At 40.4% G+C, this 19,870-nt stretch overlaps 1 protein-coding gene across 33 annotated transcripts in view; it reads right to left on the bottom strand.

Annotated features, from left to right (window-relative positions):
- TRIM2 (tripartite motif containing 2) overlaps nt 1-19,870 on the bottom strand; it is a 187,155-nt gene that overhangs the window by 35,028 nt on the left and 132,257 nt on the right. For 26 of the 33 annotated variants that reach the window (NM_001375517.1, NM_001375514.1, XM_011531796.4 and 23 more), the window contains 3 exons: nt 11,157-11,308; nt 9,805-9,985; nt 8,254-8,977 (listed from right to left, as the gene is read on the bottom strand). In NM_001375517.1, coding sequence (NP_001362446.1) covers nt 8,254-8,977; nt 9,805-9,985; nt 11,157-11,308 — 1,057 coding nt within the window. Of the gene's footprint in view, nt 1-8,253; nt 8,978-9,804; nt 9,986-11,156; nt 11,309-12,651; nt 17,832-19,870 lie in introns of those variants that run through there. The other 7 variants (NM_001375488.1, NM_001375489.1, NM_001375490.1 and 4 more) reach the window with 4 other exon arrangements.

The raw sequence follows: 19,870 nt of genomic DNA, 5'->3' as shown, positions 1-19,870 counted from the left end.
ATACAAAAATTAGCCAGGTGTGGTGGTGCACGCCTGTAGCCCCAGCTACTTGGGAGGCTGAGGCAAGAGAATCACTTGAACCCAGGAGGTGGAGATTAAAGTGAGCTGAGATCATGTCACTGCACTTCGGCCTGGGCAACAGAGCAAGACACTGTCTCAAAAAAAGAAAGAAAGAAAGAAAAAAAAAGTCATCTCTAGGAACCTTCCTTAACTTCCTTCCACATGCCAGCCTTCTCCCCCCACCATCCTGACTTCTGTGCCTTGATTTATGCTGAAGGCACTCCATCTTTTACATGTCTGTCTCCTTCTAAACTGTGGCCTCCTCTAGATCAGAGTAAGCATCTCATCGTCTTTTATAAGGATGACCTAACATAGAAGGTGCTCAAACAGCAGTCACATCCAACTAGAAGGCTGGATAATGAATGGGCAAAGATGAAAATCTGAGTTGAAATTACCCCAAAAAATATAAAGGTATTGCCCAGAAAATGACGAATGTCATGAATCTATAAAATTAATACATGTATTTAGGGTTGTTGTATAAACACCAATACATGTTTTATGAAATGATGTATCTTTAAGCATAAAATTAATGCTACAAAAAGCTTAGTATGTATGTCACCGGCTGAAAAGCAGAATCACCATTGCCATCTCACATGTGTATGTGATTGGCTTTGAATGATTTCTGGATTACATGTGGCAGGCTTCACCACATGCACAAAATGATTATTCAATTCATAAATGTTCTGTTATCACATACCTAGCAGCACAAAGGCATAATTGTAGAAGAAAGTTGAACTCTTTTTTTTTTTTTTTTTCTGAGATGGAGTCTCACTCTGTCACCCAGGCTGGAGTACAGTGGCAAGATCTTGGCTCACTGCAATCTCCGCCTCCTGGGTTCCAGCGATTCTCCTGCCTCAGCCTCCCAGGTAGCTGGGATTACAGGTGCGTGCCACCATGCCTGGCTGATTTTTATATATTTTTTTTTTTTAGTAGAGATGGGGCTTCACCATGTTGGCCAAGCTGGTCTCAAACTGCTGACCTCAGGTGGTCCGCCCGCCACAGCCTCCCAAAGTGCCAGGATTACAGGCATAAGCCACGGCGTCCAGCCAAAAGTTGAATCTTTTAATGATAACATAAACTCTACTGATTTGTAGTCAAAGGTATGGATGTTGAAAAGCCAAGTTCTTAGGCCAGTGCTGTTTGATATTGCCTAGCATAGTCCCATGCGTGTGAATGTGAATGATTACCCCTGCAGCTGAATGCATTGTCACCTGATCTGTGTGTTCCTGGGCCTCCAAACGAGCATGACGGTGGTGAGAGGGAAGTTAAATCATGAGGTAGTTCACAACTTATCCTATTCAAATGGGCAAAGTACTTATGCAAAGCATTCTTCTGTGTATTTTTTGGGAATTATAAATGATTAAAGACACCATCCTTGACCTTAAGGAATTTACCATCTTGGGTAATAAGACCCAGGCATAAGTAACAATAATCAAAGTGTATTTTGAAAGAGAAGGTGGTTTTTGAGGGAAGATAAAATTGGGAAAAGAATTCATGCACAAAGGTGTGTGAGAGCACAGAGGGAGTTCAAGTAGCCTCCACTGCTGATTTGTCCAACCTCATTACTTTTAATCCCTTTGACCTTTTCACACTATATGGGATGTGTCTCCAAAATAACAATCATGTCTTCTCCTCTTCACCTTTCTGTACTTCTTCACACTGGTCCCTTTGCCTGGGATACCAATTCTGCCTGCCAACCTGGGTAAGTCCTACCCATCATTAAAGTCCCAGTTTAAATTCCTTCCCATTTCTACAGCTTACCATCACCTATCTCATGCTGTTAGTTGCTCATACATCTATCATCCCAAACTGTCAGCTGAAGAGGGTGACAGAGATGTCATTTCCTTCATCTCTATATTCCCATCACCTAGAATAACGCCTGGCAGGCACTAGGTGCCCTAGAAATGTTTTTTGAGGTATATTATTGCATAGTGAGTGTTGTCTTTTGACTAGATACTGGATTTGAATGTAAAGTTAAAGACGAATGCAAGAAAAAGAAAAAAACTAACAACAACAACAATGTAGGGATGAATTTAACCAAGGAGGTAAAAGATCTGTACACAGAAAACTATAAGACATTGATGAAAAAAACCGAAGACAACATAAATAAATAAAAAGATGGCTCATGTTCATAGATTGGAAGAATATTAATAAAATGCCCATACCCCCAAGTGATCTAAAATGCAACTGCTATCAAAATATCAATGACATTTTTTCACAGAAATAGAAAAAGCAATCCTAAAATTCGTATGGAATCACAAAAACTCCCAAATAGCCAAAGCAATGTTAAGCCAAAAGAACAAAGCTGGTGGCATCACACCATCTTATTTCAAAATTGACTTCAAAGCTATAGTAATCAAAACAGCATGGTACTGGCTTAAAAACATAGACCACTGGTACAGAATAGAGAGCTCAGAAATAAATCCATACATTTATAGTTGATTTTCAACAAAGATGCCAACAGCACAAAATGAGGAAAGATCAGTCTCTTCAATAAATGGTGCTAGGAAAACTGCATGTCTACATGCAGAACAATGAAATCAGACTTTCATCTCACACCATATACAAAAATCAACTCAAACTGGATTAAAGACTTAAACATAACACCTGGAACTGTAAAACCACTAGCAGAAAACATAGGGAAAAAGCTCCATGACACTGTTCTGGGCAACGATTTTTTGAATATGAATGTGAAAGCACAGGCAACAAAAGCAAAAATGGATACATGGAATTACATCAAACTAAAAAGCTGTACAGCAAAGGATCACCAGAGTGAAGAGAAAACCTACAGAATGGGAGAATATTACATCTTGATAAGAGGTTAATATCTAAAATACACAAGAAACTCAAACAACTCAATAGAATGAAAAAAATAGCCTGATTTTAAAATAGGCAAAGGTTGGCTGGGTGTGGTGTGCATACCTATAGTTCCAGCTACTCCAGAGGTTGAGATGGGAGAACCACTTGAGCCTATTGAGCCCAGAGTTTGTATTCAGCCTGGGCAACAAGGTGAGACCCCATGTCTATTTTTTTTTTTTTGAGATAGAGTCTCGCTCTGTCACTCAGGCTGGAATGTAGTGGCGCGATCTTGGCTCACTGCAGCCTCTGCCTCCTGGGTTCAAGTGATTCTCCTGCCTCAGCCTCCCGAGTAGCTGGGACTACAGGCATTTGCCACCACACCTGGCTAATTTTTGTATTTTCAGTAGAGATGAGGTTTCATCATGTTGGCTAGGCTAGTCTCAAACTCCTGCCCTCAGGTGATCCGCCCACCTGGACCTCCCAAGGTGCTGGGATTACAGGCATCATCCACTGTGCCCGGCCCCCATGTCTATTTTTAAAATAAAAATAAAATTAAAAAAAAAAAGGCAAAGAACCTGAATAGACATTTATCAAAAGAAGACATACAAATGGCCAACCAGTATATAAAAAATGTAATCTCAGCACTTTGGGAGGCTGAGGTGGGTGGATCACAAGGTCAAGAGATCAAGACCATCCTGGCCAACATGGTGAAACCCTGTCTCTACTAAAAATACAAAAATTAGCTGGGTGTGCTAGTGCGTGCCTGTAGTCTCAGCTACTTGGGAAGCTTAAAACTGGGAGGCAGAGGTTACAGTAAGCTGAGATCACGCCACTGCACACCAGCCTGGCGACAGAGTAAGAATCTGTCTCAAAAAAAAAAATGTTGAACATCACTAATCATCGCGGATATGAAAATTAAAACCACAATGAGATAATACCTCATACGTGTTAGAATGGCTATTACCAAAAACACAAAAGAAAAAATTAGTCAGGTATGGCGGCACATATCTGTGGTCCCAGCTACTTGAGAGGCTGAAGTGGGAGCATCTGGAGGTTGAGGTTGCAGTGAGCCATGACCTCGCCATTGTACTCCAGCCTGGGGAAACGAGCCATGATCTCGCCATTGTACTCCAGCCTGGGGAAACAGAGCAAGACTCTGTCTCAAAAAAAAGACAAAAGATATCAAGTGTTGGCAGAGATGTGGAGACAGTGAACCCTGGCACAGGTTGGTGGGAATGTAAATTAGTACAGCCATTATGGAAAACAGTATAGAAGTTCTTCAAAAAATTAAAAATACAATTATCATATGAACCAGCAATCCCAGTACTGGGTATATATCTGTTAGAAACAAATTTTCGGTGCCGCAAAGAAATAGCACTCAAACATAAATTTAATTTTCTCAGCAAGGCAATTTTTACTTCTATAGAAGGGTGCGACTTGCAAACGGAGTAATGGTGAGAGCACACCTGGACAAGGGAGGGAAGGGGTTCTTATTCCTGACGCAGGTAGCTCCTACTGCTGTGTTGTTCACCTATTGGCTAGGGTTGGACCACACAGTCTAAGCTAATTCCGACTGGCTATTTTAAAGAGAGTACAGGTATGAGCCAGAGTGGTGGGGTGAGTAGTTTGTGGGAAGGATGGTTAGGAACAGGTAACTAAAGGTGACTTAGGTCAGAGCAGGTGACCAGGGGTGACTCGGGTCAAAGCAGGTGATAGGGATGAGTCAGGACAGAGCAGGTGACCAGGGGAACAAATGTGAACTACCGATTAAAACTGATGGAAAAAGTTGTTTACTGAAACTACAAGGAAGTTAAACTTTAAAATGGAGGACAAAGAACTGAACATACTGACATACTGATTCTTTGAAAAGAAATCTAGAACTCACTGTATCTAACATATCTAAAGAAACTGAAGTCAAGATGTCAAAGAGATATCTGCATCCTCATGTTTCACTGCAGCACTGTTCACAATAGCCAAGATATGGAATCAACCTAAGTGTCCATCAACAAATGAATAGATAAAGAAAATGTGGTATATATATACACAGTCTTTCACTGTGTGTATATATATATATACACATACACACACAATGGAATACTATTCAGCTTCAAAAATTGAGGAAATCCTGTCATTTGTGACAATATGGGTGAACCTGGAGGACATTATGCCAGGCACAGAAAGACAAATAATACATGATCTCACTTATATGAGGAATCTAAAAATGTTGAATTCATAGCAACAGACAGTAAAATAGTGGATACCAGAGGCTGGGGAGGGTGGGGGTAAAAGGACTGGAGAGATGTTGATCAAAAGACAGAAAAATTTAGTTAAATAAGAGGGATAAGTTCAAGAGAACTATTGTAAATCATGGTGACTATAGTTAATATATTATGGCTAGGCATGGTGGCTCACGCCGGTAATCCCAGCACTTTGGGAGGCTGAGATGGGGAGATTGTTTGAGTCCAGGAGTTTGAGACTAGCCTGGGCAACATGGCGAGACCCAACCCCTAAAAAAAAACAAAAACAAAAATTAGCTGGGCTTGGTGACATGCAGCTGTGGTCCCTGCTACTTGGGAGGCTGAGGTGGGAGGATCACCTGAGCCCAGGAGGTAGAGGCTACAATGAGCCATGATCACGCTACTGTACTCCAGCCTGGCCAACAGAGCAAGGCCCTGTTTCAATAACAAGAAAAGAAATATATTATATACACTTGAAAGTTGCTGAAAGAGTGGATTGTAAGTGTTCTCTATAAAAAAATTGATCAATATGTGAGGTAATGCATATGTTAGCCTGATTTAGCCATTCAATAAGGTATGCATATATCAAAACATCATGTTGTACACCATGAATATATACATATTTGGAGATTAGGTCTTTGAAGGGGTGATTAAATTAAAATGAGGCTGTTAAAGCGGGGCCCTAATTCAGTATGATTGGTGTTCTTATAAGAAGAGGAAGAGACAATAGGGGCTGAGCCACAAAGAGATGACTATGTGAGGACAAAGAGGCAAGAAGGTGGCCATCTGCAAGGACAGAGGCCTCAGAGGAAACCCACCCTCCCAGCACCTGGATTTTGGACTTCTAACTCTAAAACAGTTCCAGTTTTTCAGAACTGTGAGAAAATAAATGTCTATCATTTAAGTCACTCAGACTGTGGAATTTTGTTATGGCAGCCTTAGCAAACTAAGACAGCATCTTTACTTCATTGATAAACTCAGACATCGTGCTGCATGCCAGGCACTGTTCTAAGTTCTTCACAAATGTTTACACATTTCAACACCTTTCCAGCAGTGCCAATACATCACTATGGCTGCATTTCTCAGTAGGTACGAGGGGAGAAGATATACCCCCTTGTCCCTGGGGTGGGATCTGGAGAATCAAAACCAATATAGTTTGAGCACAGGAAACTCCTGAAAGACATGTCTCTTTCCTCAAGTGGGTATCAGAGGTGATGATGATTATGATGATGATGATGATGAATAACAAGAGTAAAATCTTAGCTACCATTAATTGAGCTCTTGCTGTACACAGGCACATGCCACGTATATTACAAGAATTCTCTCATTTCACCCCCAACAGCAACCTTAAGATTTAGGTAATATTTCATTCCCTTTGTTTTACAGAGGAGAAAACACTGTTCAAAAAGGGTAAGTAAGCCAGTTGCCCAGCTGGTGAGAAGAATCAAGATTCCAACCCAGATCTGCCCAATTCCAGTTCTGAGTCTTTCACTGCACATGGCCTAGGGGAGTAGACTGGGGTCACTTGGTGGGAGGTGTGGGGGATGGAGGTTTAAATGGGAAAATGAATTTGTTCGTAATGCAAGAGATCAGTGGGGAGCCAGCAGGTTTTTTGAAAAGAAAAGGTAGTAGGGATAATCTAAAAGCCTTAACAATTACATGTACAAAAACAATAGCTCTCATTCATTTAGCTCCTCCTACATGTCAGGCATTCAGCTTGGAACTTAGAATAGTTCTGATAAGCAGATATTTTTGCATTTTCATTTCATGGACATAGAAGTTGAAGTACAGGGAAGCTGAAAGATTTGCCCAAGGCTCAAGTAAGTGGCTGAACCGGAGTGGCAGACCTGGGCGCCTCCCAGTCCTGCATCCACCCAAGCTCGTCCACTCTGCTCTGGTGGAGAATCAACAACCCCTGCACCCATATCGCACATCTGGCCGTGAATGTATGAGGGCTTCCATGCTCTGAACAGACAAGTTACATATCATATCACCGTCTTTGCGAAGATTCAGCCTGAAGCATTAACATTGAGCAGCTCTGCCCAAGAACGTTCCACAGAGCCTTCATTTCCCAAGACGTTCCAGGGAAAAAGTTCTATGGTTGGAAGTTTGGATGTGCTGCCTGTTATCTATCCCTCTCCTGCCTCAGAGACCTACAATGTACATCAGCAGATTCTAAAGGTTTTAAGAAGTTCTGCAATTTAAAAAAGTCCACTTCCTTCATTTAGCCTAAGGTTTCCCAAATTTATCTGAACCATAGAATTGTTTTTCTACATGTGCCAGCTAATATACAGTGCAGCACTCTTTCAGAGATACTGCATTGTTAAATGGAAGAGGGAGGAAAAGAAGTCTGCTGGAGCTACTTTTTGAAGCTAACTAAAATGCAGACTTTTCTCCCTTAAGAATCATCAAGCCCTTTGCTGTTTACATTTAGTTGCTTTCTACTGAGAACATAGAAAGTTTAAAAAGAGAGAGACCATAAATCAGAGGAGGGAAGGGCTATTTGCATTCCTAACTCTCTTGGCTCATCGGGTACCTTCTTGCTTCCACCCCAACCCCGCCTCAACCCCATTCTTTCTCCAAGTTTCCACCCCTCCTCCTCTCCTTGGGGCTGCTCTCCAGCTACACACAGCTGGAGGTGGTTGCAACTTGCAATGCACACATCCCCTCCCTCCTGCAATGCCGATGCAGTGACAGGGAGGCATCACATGCTCTGCCAACCGTACAGCCTCAGCTCTGGCACAAGAAGACCCTCCCAGGGAAGAGGGGCGTTGGTGGTGGGGGTTAGGGGGAGGATTGCCAATTTTTCCTTCAAGATTTTCAGATTACGGGTGCTATGATTTTTCTATTTCTCTTTTTGCTTATTTTCAGCTTGTAATTTCCTACAATGAATATGCAGCACTTGTGTCTTAAGGAAGAGGAAGAAGAGAAAGGAGGGAGTAGGGAGGAGACTAGAGGCGGAGGAGAAGGAAATACCATCTCTGGAGGAGACTGCATAAGCTCGACTAACAAAATATATCAAATTTTATAGCAGTACATCTCCTAACACCTGCAGGTAGAGTTCTGGGCTGCAGTGTTGCTATTTGCAATGACACGTGCCCAGTTACCCCTTAACCAGTGCCAGCTCAGGCGTCGGGCACAGAAGCCCTCTCCTTACCCACTCGAAAGATCAAATCGTCTTCGATGGGATTCTCTTTTCGTTTTCCAGTGCTGTACATGCTTGCGGGTCTTTTCACAGCTTTCTGCTTGACGTGGCCGCTCCCCGGGGACTTAACGCGCCTCTTCACGCCTTCTGTGGTGGGAGACACATCAGCGGATCGGATCACTTTCAGCTTAAACGGGCTGCCTCGGATGTGCTGGTCATAGAGTCTCAGAGACAGGGTAAAGTCCCCTTCCTTCTGGACAGTGTACAAAAACTCATAGGTGCCGTTCTTGTTGTCCAGGATCTCCCCGTCTGCCACGCTCCCGTCGGGGGTGCTCAGTTCGGCGGTGAGGTAGGCGTTGCCGGTTTTGCACAGCTCACCGTCTTTGTCCTTGGTGGTGATGGTGACGGACATGGGCTGCCCGATGATGGTCTGCCGCAGCCCCTCGCCCGTGGCCACTGTCTCTGAGGCAACGGCGTTGGTGGTTAAGATCGTCCCGAGGTTGTGGATGGACTTCTTCAGCCCCTCGGTTTCCACGATGAAATCCAGCTGGTCGTTCTCCCGCGGGTGCAAGGGGAAGTCCTGGTCGGCCAGCTCGTTCAGCTTCTCGCTCATCTGCTTCTTCACCAGTAGGACCTCGGTCTCCGTGCCATGGTTGAGGGCCTGCGCTGTGAAGTTGCTGCAGCTCTTAATGCTCTCCTGCCCCTGGAGCAGAGTATCCAGCTGCGACTGGAGGACCTGCGGGAAAACCGGAGGCCTGGTGAGCTCGTCCCACAGGGCGGGGCCTAGCCCGGGGCAGTGCCCTCCACCGGCGAGAAGGAGACTCTACACCTGCCCACGCAGGTGGCTCTGAGCAAGCGGTGTTTGTCAACCCAGGGAACCCAGTGCTAACGCAAAGTCCTAAACTGCATTCCCAGTACCTTTTCGAGGTTTCCCTTCCGCCTCGCCCTCTCTTCCACACATGTATTTCTTGGCTCATGTGTTTTGGAGAGGGGAAAACAGAAAGGTCACTACCAAGAGCATAGCAAATTAATTGCTATGCCTGACATCTGAAATATTCATTATTCAGTATCTTTCCCCATGTCCCCATGTCCATCACCACCTAAAGGAACAGGAAGTAAACAAATGAAAACTCTCCACACCTGAACATCAGAGGTTTCTCATCCCTGTTTTGTGAACAGACATGCAGAGTTAAACAAAGGCTGCAGTCAGGGTTCATTTTGAAGCTGACTAACAGGTTGGTGTGGGTGAGAGAGCAATTAAGAAACTATTTCATGTTATAACTGAGGAATGAAAACAATCCAGTTTAACTCTAAATGCTAAAAGCATTACATTATATTCAACCTTGCCTCTTGTCAAATTATAAACTAGTACTTAAAGTCACAGAGTCATCGAATTTTGCTGAAAATAGGGGAAAAAATAGCTGGATATTACATTCAGTGAAAACTATAGTTTACTATACAATGATGACACTTAAGGACCCCTTGTTGCTATTAGGAAACAATAAGCTAGTGCCCTTGGATATCATGTCTCTTCCAGGACATCTGTAATGATTCTGGTCTTACTTTGTGTTTGAGGCCATAGTTGACCTCCAATTCCATAAGCAGCACACTCTTGCGCACATTTAAAGTCTTCTGGAGCTCATCAAAGGTGGAATGAATGTCATCCACGATGCTGGCCTTTTGGTTGGTTAACTGATGAATGATTTCAGAGATGAACTGAAGAGCAGAATCTATTTCTGGGAGCCTGGTGGACAGTTGTTAAAGGTCGTTATTTAACCTCAACCCAGAAATATTCCAAAATCTATCTAAACACTACATTTTGTTTAAAAAAATTCTATGCCTTTCATCATCTTTAAAAAAACAATAACCAGAGAACAGAATAAGATATGACATAATTACTGCCTTAGAGAGAAGAGATTTTGTCTCTTCAGAGACAATCAAAATTGTCAATTTCAATCTACCATCAATTGTCCAATTTTAATAATTAATTAAGTGTATAGACTTGAAGCTCTCTGAAAAGCCATTCTGGCCAGGTTAATTCTTCGTTGCAGGGGCCGTCTGGTGCATTGTATGATGTTTAACAGCAGCCTGTCCTCTACCAGATACCAATAGCTCTCCCCGCCCTGCCTCCCTCTCCCCAACCCCCTGCCAAAACACACAGTTGTGATACCAAAAATGTCTCCAGGCATTGCCGAATGGCTGAGAACCACTATTCTAGATAGCTGTATCTTTTACCCTAGCCACATAAAACATTTATCCAAACCCAGTTTCTTGAGAACTTCTCGTAAGTTTCCAAGTTCTTTGAATTACTATAGAACAACCACACTTTTCTCACTACAGCTATCAGTGGAGAGATTTATTTTGTCTGCTTTTCTGCTGGCTTCTCATTTCCTCTCTTTGGTCTTTTTCATGCACCACTCAGCTACTCTGTTCTTTCATTTCTGTGCCAAAGAAGGAACTTGGAAGCAGGAAAACAAGGAAAATTAGCAATCACTGCTCAAGACCATTTTGCAGAGCTCAGACAGAAAGGAGCCAATCACAGCCAACAAAATGGCCTGTATGTGTGTCAGGAACAGCAGATAAGGAAGGCTCCTCAGAGAGCCTGGTTTCAGGGATGAATTTCAGAACTCTCCTGAGAGCAGTTTATTTGAGTGTACTTTAATTCATGTAATCATACTTAGGTACTAAAACAAAAATGCCACTCATAAGGAGGCTGGAGTTCTACCAACAGGCAGAAGACAACCTTCCTCACTCATTAGTTTATGACAACAAATCCATGATAAAAGAACTTATTTACCCACAAAGCCTGATATCTCAAGGGAAATATGAACCTACTCTTGTACCTAGACAAGAGGCCATGAGGCCAGGCCTCAAGTACAGGCAGCCAGTTGGGGGTTTGGGGAGGGGTCCCCCACCTTTTGTTGACAGCATCCAGCTGGACCTGGAGCGAGGCCTTGTGCTGTTCCACCACATCCTTGAGTGGAACTGTGGGGTGCTCTGCGTGCTCCCCCTCCGTGCACTCCCGACACATGGCAGTCTCACAGGACTGGCAGTAAAATTCCATCACCTGTGGATGACACAAGAAAAGTTCCTGGTTCTGGGCCATGGGTTGAGGGCTTACTCTACACTAAGCACTTGCCTTGCAGTCTCTCATAATTAAATGAGAGCCACCCCAGAATGTCAGCATTATTAAGTCCAGCTTCACAGGAGAAAAGGAAGGACACATTTTTATGTGACAGGTCTCAGAAATGGAGCTGACTTCTAAGCTGCTTCTATAACCATAAAACCAGCTTTTGGGTATCCACTGCCCCAAGGCAGTACAGTATAGGGCTGTGGTGCTCAAACATTTTTATATCAGGACCCCGTTATAATCTTTAAAAATTATTGAGGACTCCAAAAGAGCTTTCGTGTATGTGGGTTATATTTATAGATATTTCTTATATTAAAAATTGAAACTAGGCTGGGTGCAGTGGCGTATGCCTATAATCCCAGCACTTTGGGAGGCCAAGGCTGGAGGATTACTCGAGGCCAGGAGTTAAGACCAGCCTGGGAAACATAGCGAGACTCTGTCTCTACAAAAAATTTTAAAATTAGTATTTAATCAAATTTTTAAAAATTAGAACGGATAAAAATTTTAAAGTATTTAATTTATTAAAAGCAGTAATAAGCCCATTAAATGTTAATGTGAATAATGTAATTTATGAAAATAAATATATTGTGAAAAACAAAAAAATTTGTGGGAAAAATGGTATTGTTTTCCATTTTTGTAAATATCTGCAGCGTCTGGCTTAACAGAAGATGGCTGGAGACTTGTATCCACTTCTGCATTGAGTCCATTGTGATAGCATACATCACATAGCCTGTGGAAAATTCCACTGTGCACTCTTGAGAGAACGAGAGTGAAAAAAGCAAATAATGTCTTCATATGATTATGAATATAGTATTGACCTTGAAGACTGCTTGAAAACGTCTTGGGACCCACAAGGGTTCCTGGACCACACTTTGAGAACTGCTACTGTTTGGCTAAGAGACTTATCCAAATAAGAAGTCTGGACTGAGCAGTTTGTCTCCTGGCTTCACCACTTATTTAGCTGAATGACCTTGGACAAATTTTCAGCCTCACTGTGTCACAACTTCTGTCTCTGTCAAATGGAGATAGTAACAGTAACCTACTTCACAGGGCTACTATGAAGAATAAGTAGGTTAGTATGCACGAAGAACTCAGATGGCACCTGGCTTTGGTACATAATAAGTTCTTAATATGTAGTAGCTGCTGTGGGGATGATGATGATGATGATGATGACATCATCTGCTTACCTGAAAATAAAAAAATATGACCCTGACAATGACGAACTTTCAGTAACAATATAATATAAAGCCAGAAAATTAGCTTCCTTGCAGAGGTATTACCTTGTTTTCTCAGCTGGAAATAATGTCTTCCAGTTTTCAATTCCCAAAGCACTTTTAGGAGGAACTTTTTCTTGACATATAACACAATACAGAAAAGGGCATAAATCTTAATGCAGCTTGATGGATTTTCACAAAGTGAAGGCAGTCACCAAATCACTTTTATTTATACCCAATTTATGAAATAAAAGATTTTAAATTCCTAAGCCCAGGAACTCTCCCACCCAGAGCCTAGATAATACCATACATTTAGTAGGTATTCAATAACACTACTGAATGAATAAATGAGAGGAGGCTCTTAGCCATGATTCGGGTGGCATGTGTAAGACCAACCAAGGGACACCTCCTTCCTCATTAAGACTCACTATGTTACATAGTGCTTTCTGGAGAAGATTCTCCTAGGAATAAAGCACTCAGCTTGCTCATACTACATGTGTTTTGGAAAAAACCTTTTCTGGTGAACCAAATTCAGATAAAAGTCATTCAAACCATGTCCAAGATAATTTTAAATTTCATATTTATCATAGTTTCAAGTAGGTACATAGTAAGAGGTTTAGAAAGACACTTTTTTTTTGTCATATAAAGACACTTTTTTTTTTGTCATATAAGGCTGTAATTTCATGTACTTTGCTCCTCTGCAGGCCTTTTAGGAATAGGCTTGAAACATTAACTGGAAATTTCTTGTATGCATTCTCTGCTCAAAAACATTTCTCAGCTGGGTGCAGTGGCTCACACCTGTAATCCCAGCACTTTGGAAGGCCAAGGTGGGAGGATCACTTGAGGCCAGGGGTTTGAGACCAGCCGGGGAACCACAGCAAAGCTCTGTCTCTAGAAAAAAATTTAAAAAATTAACTGGACGTGGTGGCACATGCCTGTAGTCCCAGCTACTTGGGAGGCTGAGGTGGGAGGATTGCTTGAGCTTCGGAGTTCGAGGTTGCAGTGAGCCATGATTGTGCCACTGCACTCCAGCCTGGGTATCGGAGCAAGATCCTATTTCAAAAAGCAAAAAAGTATTCACACTTCTCATTAAAATATGTTTTAATAAACTCAAATGAAAATTCAAATATCCCACAGAAAGACTATAATACTGGTCATTTGCACCTTATTTTGGTACAAGTCTGATACAATCCAGCAGAAAGCACAGCTTATAGAAGCTGTTCAATAATTATTCGCTGAGGGGCAATATGAGCTAAGGGGTACTTCCAAGGGATTTCCCCAGTGAGGGAAGACTATACTTTGGGTTGCATTTGTGTATTTTACCATATTGCTTTCCTTCATGTGTTCAGGAAATAGAACGATCTAAAACTATACGCAGTGTCAGCAAATGCTTGGTAACAATATATAAGCCTCATATCATAAATATTTTACTTGTTATTAGAAAAAAATTCTTAATCCAAGAAGTTTCCTGTTTTTCAAAGGGCTGGCAGAAGGCAGGATAAATGAGCATTCCCCACTAAATTCTGAGATTTCTTTGGAAAAATTTCATCCCCTGGGGTTTGTGAAACATAATTCCTATCAAGGCTGAGCTTCTTTATTACTTCATGGCTTCAGCCAGAGGTGGTTTACTTTTACCAGACATTTTATTTCTAGATTATATATAACTAGAATAGCATTTACTAATATTTCATCTTCATGGTCAGTGCTCAGGAGGTCTCTTTAAAGCAGGTTGTCACTGCCAGTCACATGTACCAGAGGACAGCCCAAAAACAGAATGTGAAAAGACTTCTTCCCTCAGGTTATTTCGGGTGTTGGGGCAAATATAAGTGTATGGACTGAGGGAATATGCCACATTAACAGTGCTTAGTCAATCCAATGGCACTCTTCCCAAACCAATCTAGCCTGGGACTGAGTTCCCACATCTTCACTGGAAGAAGGGAGCATGGCCTCATGTCTAGAATGGGTCTAGATCAATGGCAAATTTTACTTGGGAATCAGTGTGCACATTGCATTTAGAAGTTGCAAATACTATATCATATTTGTTGCATTTTGTGGTCTGAGTTGAAGTTCCCCAGCAGTATAAGAAACGAGATGACAAAGAATACTCATTGGAAGACAGAAAAGGATGCAAAATAATATAGAGTCGCGAAAAATGTAAAAAATCCTCAAGACCAGAGTTCATCATGTATGAAAAAAGATCAGCATCCATTACTATTATTATCCTTCTTTTTAATTCATATTTTTAAATGATTACAGGGAAGTGATGTTACTGAAAACAGCAGCATAAGAAAATCTATGTCAGGTCACTGGTTGGTAGCTAATCTACTGGAACAGACTTCATTAGCCACATATGACAAAACATACAAACTTTACAAAATTAGTTGCATTGGATAATAAAAGTGGGGAACGAAAAAAATATAAAATAATTAGTTTAGAAAAGTCACCAAACAACAACAGCAAAAAACTATAATAATCATCAACAAAAAACCCTAGGGAGAGGGGAGACTCTGATTTCCAGAGTTGCCACAATATAGTACTTTAAATGTTCAGTTTCCAATGGAAAAAAGTGAAGCACACAAAAAAGGACAAAGTTCACAAAGAGGAATAAAAGAAATTTATAGGCACTCTCCCTAAAGAAGCCCAGATTGGACTTACTTGACTTTAACTCTTTCATATATGCTCACAGAGCTAATGGAAACCATATATAAAAAACTATGAGAACAATGTCTCACTAAATGGAGAATATTAATAGAGAGATAAGAATTATTTTTTAAAAGCCAAATAGAAATATTGTAGGGTTAAAAAATATAACTGCAATGAAAAATTCACTAGAAAAGTTCCACAGAAAATTCAAGCAGGAAGAAGAAGGTTAACTTGAAGATGGGCCTATTGAGATTATACAGTCTGTGAGGCAGGAAAAAAAAAAAAGGAAGAAAAAGTAACAAAACCTAAGAGGCCCGTGGGACACCATCAAGTGTACCAAATATACCTAATGAGAGTCCCAGAGGAGAGGAAGAGAGAAAGGGAAAGAACCGATATTTGCAAAAGTAATGGCTGGAAACTTCCCAAATTTGATAAAAGACACAAATCTACACATCCAAAAAACTTAATAAACTCCAAACAGGAAACTCAAAGACATCCAAACCAGGAAACAGTATAACCAAACCATAAAAAGACAAAAACAAAGAGAGAATCTTGAAAGCAGCAAGACAGAGGTGACTCATCTTGTATAAGAAATATTCCATAAGCAGATTTTTTTTCTTTTTTCTAAGATGAGTCTCACTCTGTCACCCAGGCTGGAGTGCAGTGGCTCAATCTTGGCTCACTGCAACCTCTGGCTCCCAAGTTCAAGCGATTCTCCTGTCTCAGCCTCCTGAGTAGCTGGGATTACAGGTGCGCGCCACCATCCCTGGCTAATTTTTGTATTTTTAGTAGAGACAAGGTTTCACCATGTTGGCCAGGCTGGTCTCAAACTCCTGACCTCAGGTGATCCGCCTGCCTCAGCCTCCCAAATTATTGGGATTACAGGTGCGAGCCACCATGCCCGGCTGCAGATTTTTTAATAGCAGATATCTCATCAGAAACTATAGAGGCCAGAAATCAATGGGGTAATATATTCAAACTGCTGAAAAAAAAATAAACCTGACAACTAATAATTTTTTATCTGGCAAAACTATCCTTCAAACATGAAGGAAAAATTAACACATTACCAGAAATACAAAAACTGAGTGTCTGTTGCTAGTATACCTTCCCTACAAGTCATGCCAAAGGGATTCCTGCAAGCTGACCTGATTTGATACACTACAAAGTAACCTGGGTCCACATGAAAAAAACAAGGAAAGCAGGTAAAGGTAACTACACAGATAAATATAAAGGTCAGTATTAATGTATTTTAGTTTTCTAACTCCTACATGACATAAAATAAAACTGCATAAAACAGCATAATCTATAATTACAAACCTATGTAGCTGAGCATACAACATATAAATACAAGCTAAAAGAAGCAAGGATTTTACATACTATTGAAATTATGTTGGTATTAATTTGAATTAAATCATTATAAGCTAAAATGTTAATTATAACCCTCAGGGCAAACAATAAAGAAAAATAAAAATATGTATAGTAAAAGAAATGAGAAGGGAATCAAAATGGTTCACTAGAAAATATCTATTAAACATAAAAGAAGGCAGTAATGGAGGAATAGAGGAACAAAAAGATATGCCATACAGAAAAAGAATAGTAAATGGCAAAAGGAAAGAAAGCCTTTCTTTTCAGTAATTAAGTTAATTAATTTAAATGGATTAAACTCTCCAATCAAAGGGCTGATACTGGCAGATTGGATTGAAAACATAATCCAACTATATGCTCTCTATAAGAGACTAATTTTAGATTCAGAGACTCAAATAGGTTGAAAGTGACAGGATGGCCCAGATATGGTGGCTCATGCCTGTAATCCCAGTACTTTGGGAGACAGAGGCAGGAGGATTGCTTGAGTCCAGGAGGTCAAGACCAGCTTGAAAAACATAGTGAGAGACCCTGTCTATTAAAAAAATACAAAAATTAGCTGAGCATAGTGGCGTGTGCCTGTAGTCCTGGCCTTCAGGAGGCTGAGGCAGGAATATCAATTGAACCCAAGATTATGAGGCTGCAGTGAGCTATGATCATGCCACTGTACTCCAGCCTGGGAAACAGAGCAAGACCATCTCTTAAAAAAAGAGAGAGAGAAAAAGGAAAAGAAAAAAAAGAAAGTGAAAGAATGAAAAAAATATTTCATGCAAACTGTAACCAAAAGGGAGCTAGAGTGGCTATTCTAATATCAGAAAAAATAGACTTAAGACAAAAGTTGGATAGTATATAATTGACAGAAAGGATATTATAAAATTGATAAAACTTTAGTTAGACTGACCAGAGAGAGAGAGAGAGTGAGATGGTGGGGGGGTGCGGGGTGGTGGGTGTGTGTGTGTGGCAGGGGTGGTGTGGGAGAAGAGAGAAAGAAGACTCAAATTACAAAAATCAGGAAGGAAAGTGGTGGGGAAATTACTACTGACATCATAGAAATAAAAAGGATTATAACAGAATACTGTGGATAGTTTTATGCTAACACATTGAATAACTTAGATGAAATGGACAAATTCCTAAAAACACACAAACTATCAAAACTGACATGAAGAAATACAAAGTCTGAATAGACCTGTAATATGTAAGGAGATTGAATCAATAATCAGGAAACTTCCAACACAGAAAAGCCCAGGACCAGATGGCTTCACTGGTGAATTCAACCAAATATTTTAAGAAGAACTAACACCAATCTTCCTTAAACTCTTAAAAAAAAATAGAAGAGATTGAGGGGTAATACTTCCTAACTCATTCTATTAGGCCAGTATTTCCCTGATACCAAAGCCAAAGATACCACAAGAAAATTACAGACCAATAACCCTTATAAATATGGATGAAAAAATTCTTAATAAAATGCTAGCAAACTGAATCCAGCTGTATATTAAAGAGATTATATATCATGAGCAGGTGGGATTTATCCCAGGAATGCAAGGGTGGCTTACCTAGACAAATTACTGTATGTAATACATCACATTAATAGAATGAAAGAAAAAACTCATTATCATCTGAATTAATGTGGGAAAAGCATTTAACAAAATCCAATATCTTTTCATGCCAAACTAGAAACAGAAGGGAACTTCCTCCTCCTAATAAAGAGCATCTACAAAAAACCCACAGCTAACATCATACTTAATCAAGAACAAGAGGATATTCACTCTTATCACTTCTAGTCAACGGTGTACTGAAGGTGCTGACCAGGGCATTTAGGCAAGAAAAAGAAATAAAATGCATCCAAATTGGAAAGGAAGAATTAAGAATTTCTCTATACAGAGATGACATGATCTTATATACAGAAAATCCTAAAGAATACACACACACACACACACACGCACACACATTCACACAATTAGAGCTAATAAATGAATTCAGCAAAGTTGCAGGATACAAGATTAACAAACAAAAATCAGTTGTATCTCTAAACACTAACAATGAATAATCCAAAAGTGAAATTAAGAAAACAATTCCCAGCTAGGCATGGTGGCTCATGCCTGTAATCCCAGGACTTTGGGAGGCTGAGGCAGGAGGATTGCTTGCCCCAAGACCAGGCTGGCCAAAATAGTGAGACCTATCTCTATTTTTTTAAAAAAATCCATTTACAATATTATCAAAAAGAATATAACATAGTTGGGAATAAATTGAACCAAGGAAGTGCAAGACTTGAATACTGAAAACTACTAAATAGCCAAAACAATCTTGAAAAAGAACAAAATTGGAGGACTCATAGTTACCAATTTCAAAACTGACTATAATGCTACAGTAATCAAAACAATGTAGTACTGGCATGAGAATAGGCATATAGATCAATGGAATAAGATGGAAAGTACAGAAAGAAGCCCATACATCCATGGTCAATTGATTCTTGACAAGGGTGTCAACACAGCTCAATGGGAAAAATTGCCTTTTCAACATATTATGCTGAGGTAACTAGAAATTCACATGTACAAGAATGAAATTTAACCCTTCCTTCAAACCACATACAAAAATTAACTCAAGATACATAAAAGACCTAAATGTAAGCTAAAACTATAAAAATCTTAGAAGGAAACAGGGGTGAATTTTCATGACCTTGAATCAGCAATGGATTCTAAGCTATGACACCAAAAGCACAAGCAACAAAAGAAAAAAATAGAGAAATTAGGCTTCATTAAATTAAAAGTATTTTTGAATCAAAGGACACTAATAAGAAAGTGAAAAGAAACCCCACAAAATGGGAGAAAATATGGCTAGTCATATATCTGATAAGGGTATAATAATCCAGAACATATTAAAAATTCTACAACTCAACAACAAAAAGATAAACAACGCAATTCAAAAACGGGCAAAGAACTTGAATAGACTTTCTCCAAAGAAGATATACAAATGGTCAATTAGCACATGAAAATATGATCCACATTGTTAATCATTTGGCAAATGCAAATCAAAACCGCAACAAGATATCACTGCATACTCACTAGAATCAAAAGTCAGGATGAAAAAGTCAAATAATAATAAGGGTTGGTAAAGATGCTGAGAAATTAGAACCCTTATGCTTTGCTAGTGGAAATGTAAACTGGTGCAGCCACTGTGAAAACAGTTGGTGGTTCCAGGCCAGGCATGGTGGCTCATGCCTGTAATCCCAGCACTTTGGGAGGCCAAGGCTGGCAGATCACTTGAGGCCAGGAATTCAAGA

Source organism: Homo sapiens, chromosome 4 (genome assembly GCF_000001405.40).
Source record: "Homo sapiens chromosome 4, GRCh38.p14 Primary Assembly".
Taxonomy (NCBI): domain Eukaryota; kingdom Metazoa; phylum Chordata; class Mammalia; order Primates; family Hominidae; genus Homo; species Homo sapiens.
Note: the sequence above shows the minus strand (reverse complement) of the source record. Positions and strands in the feature narration are given on the sequence as shown.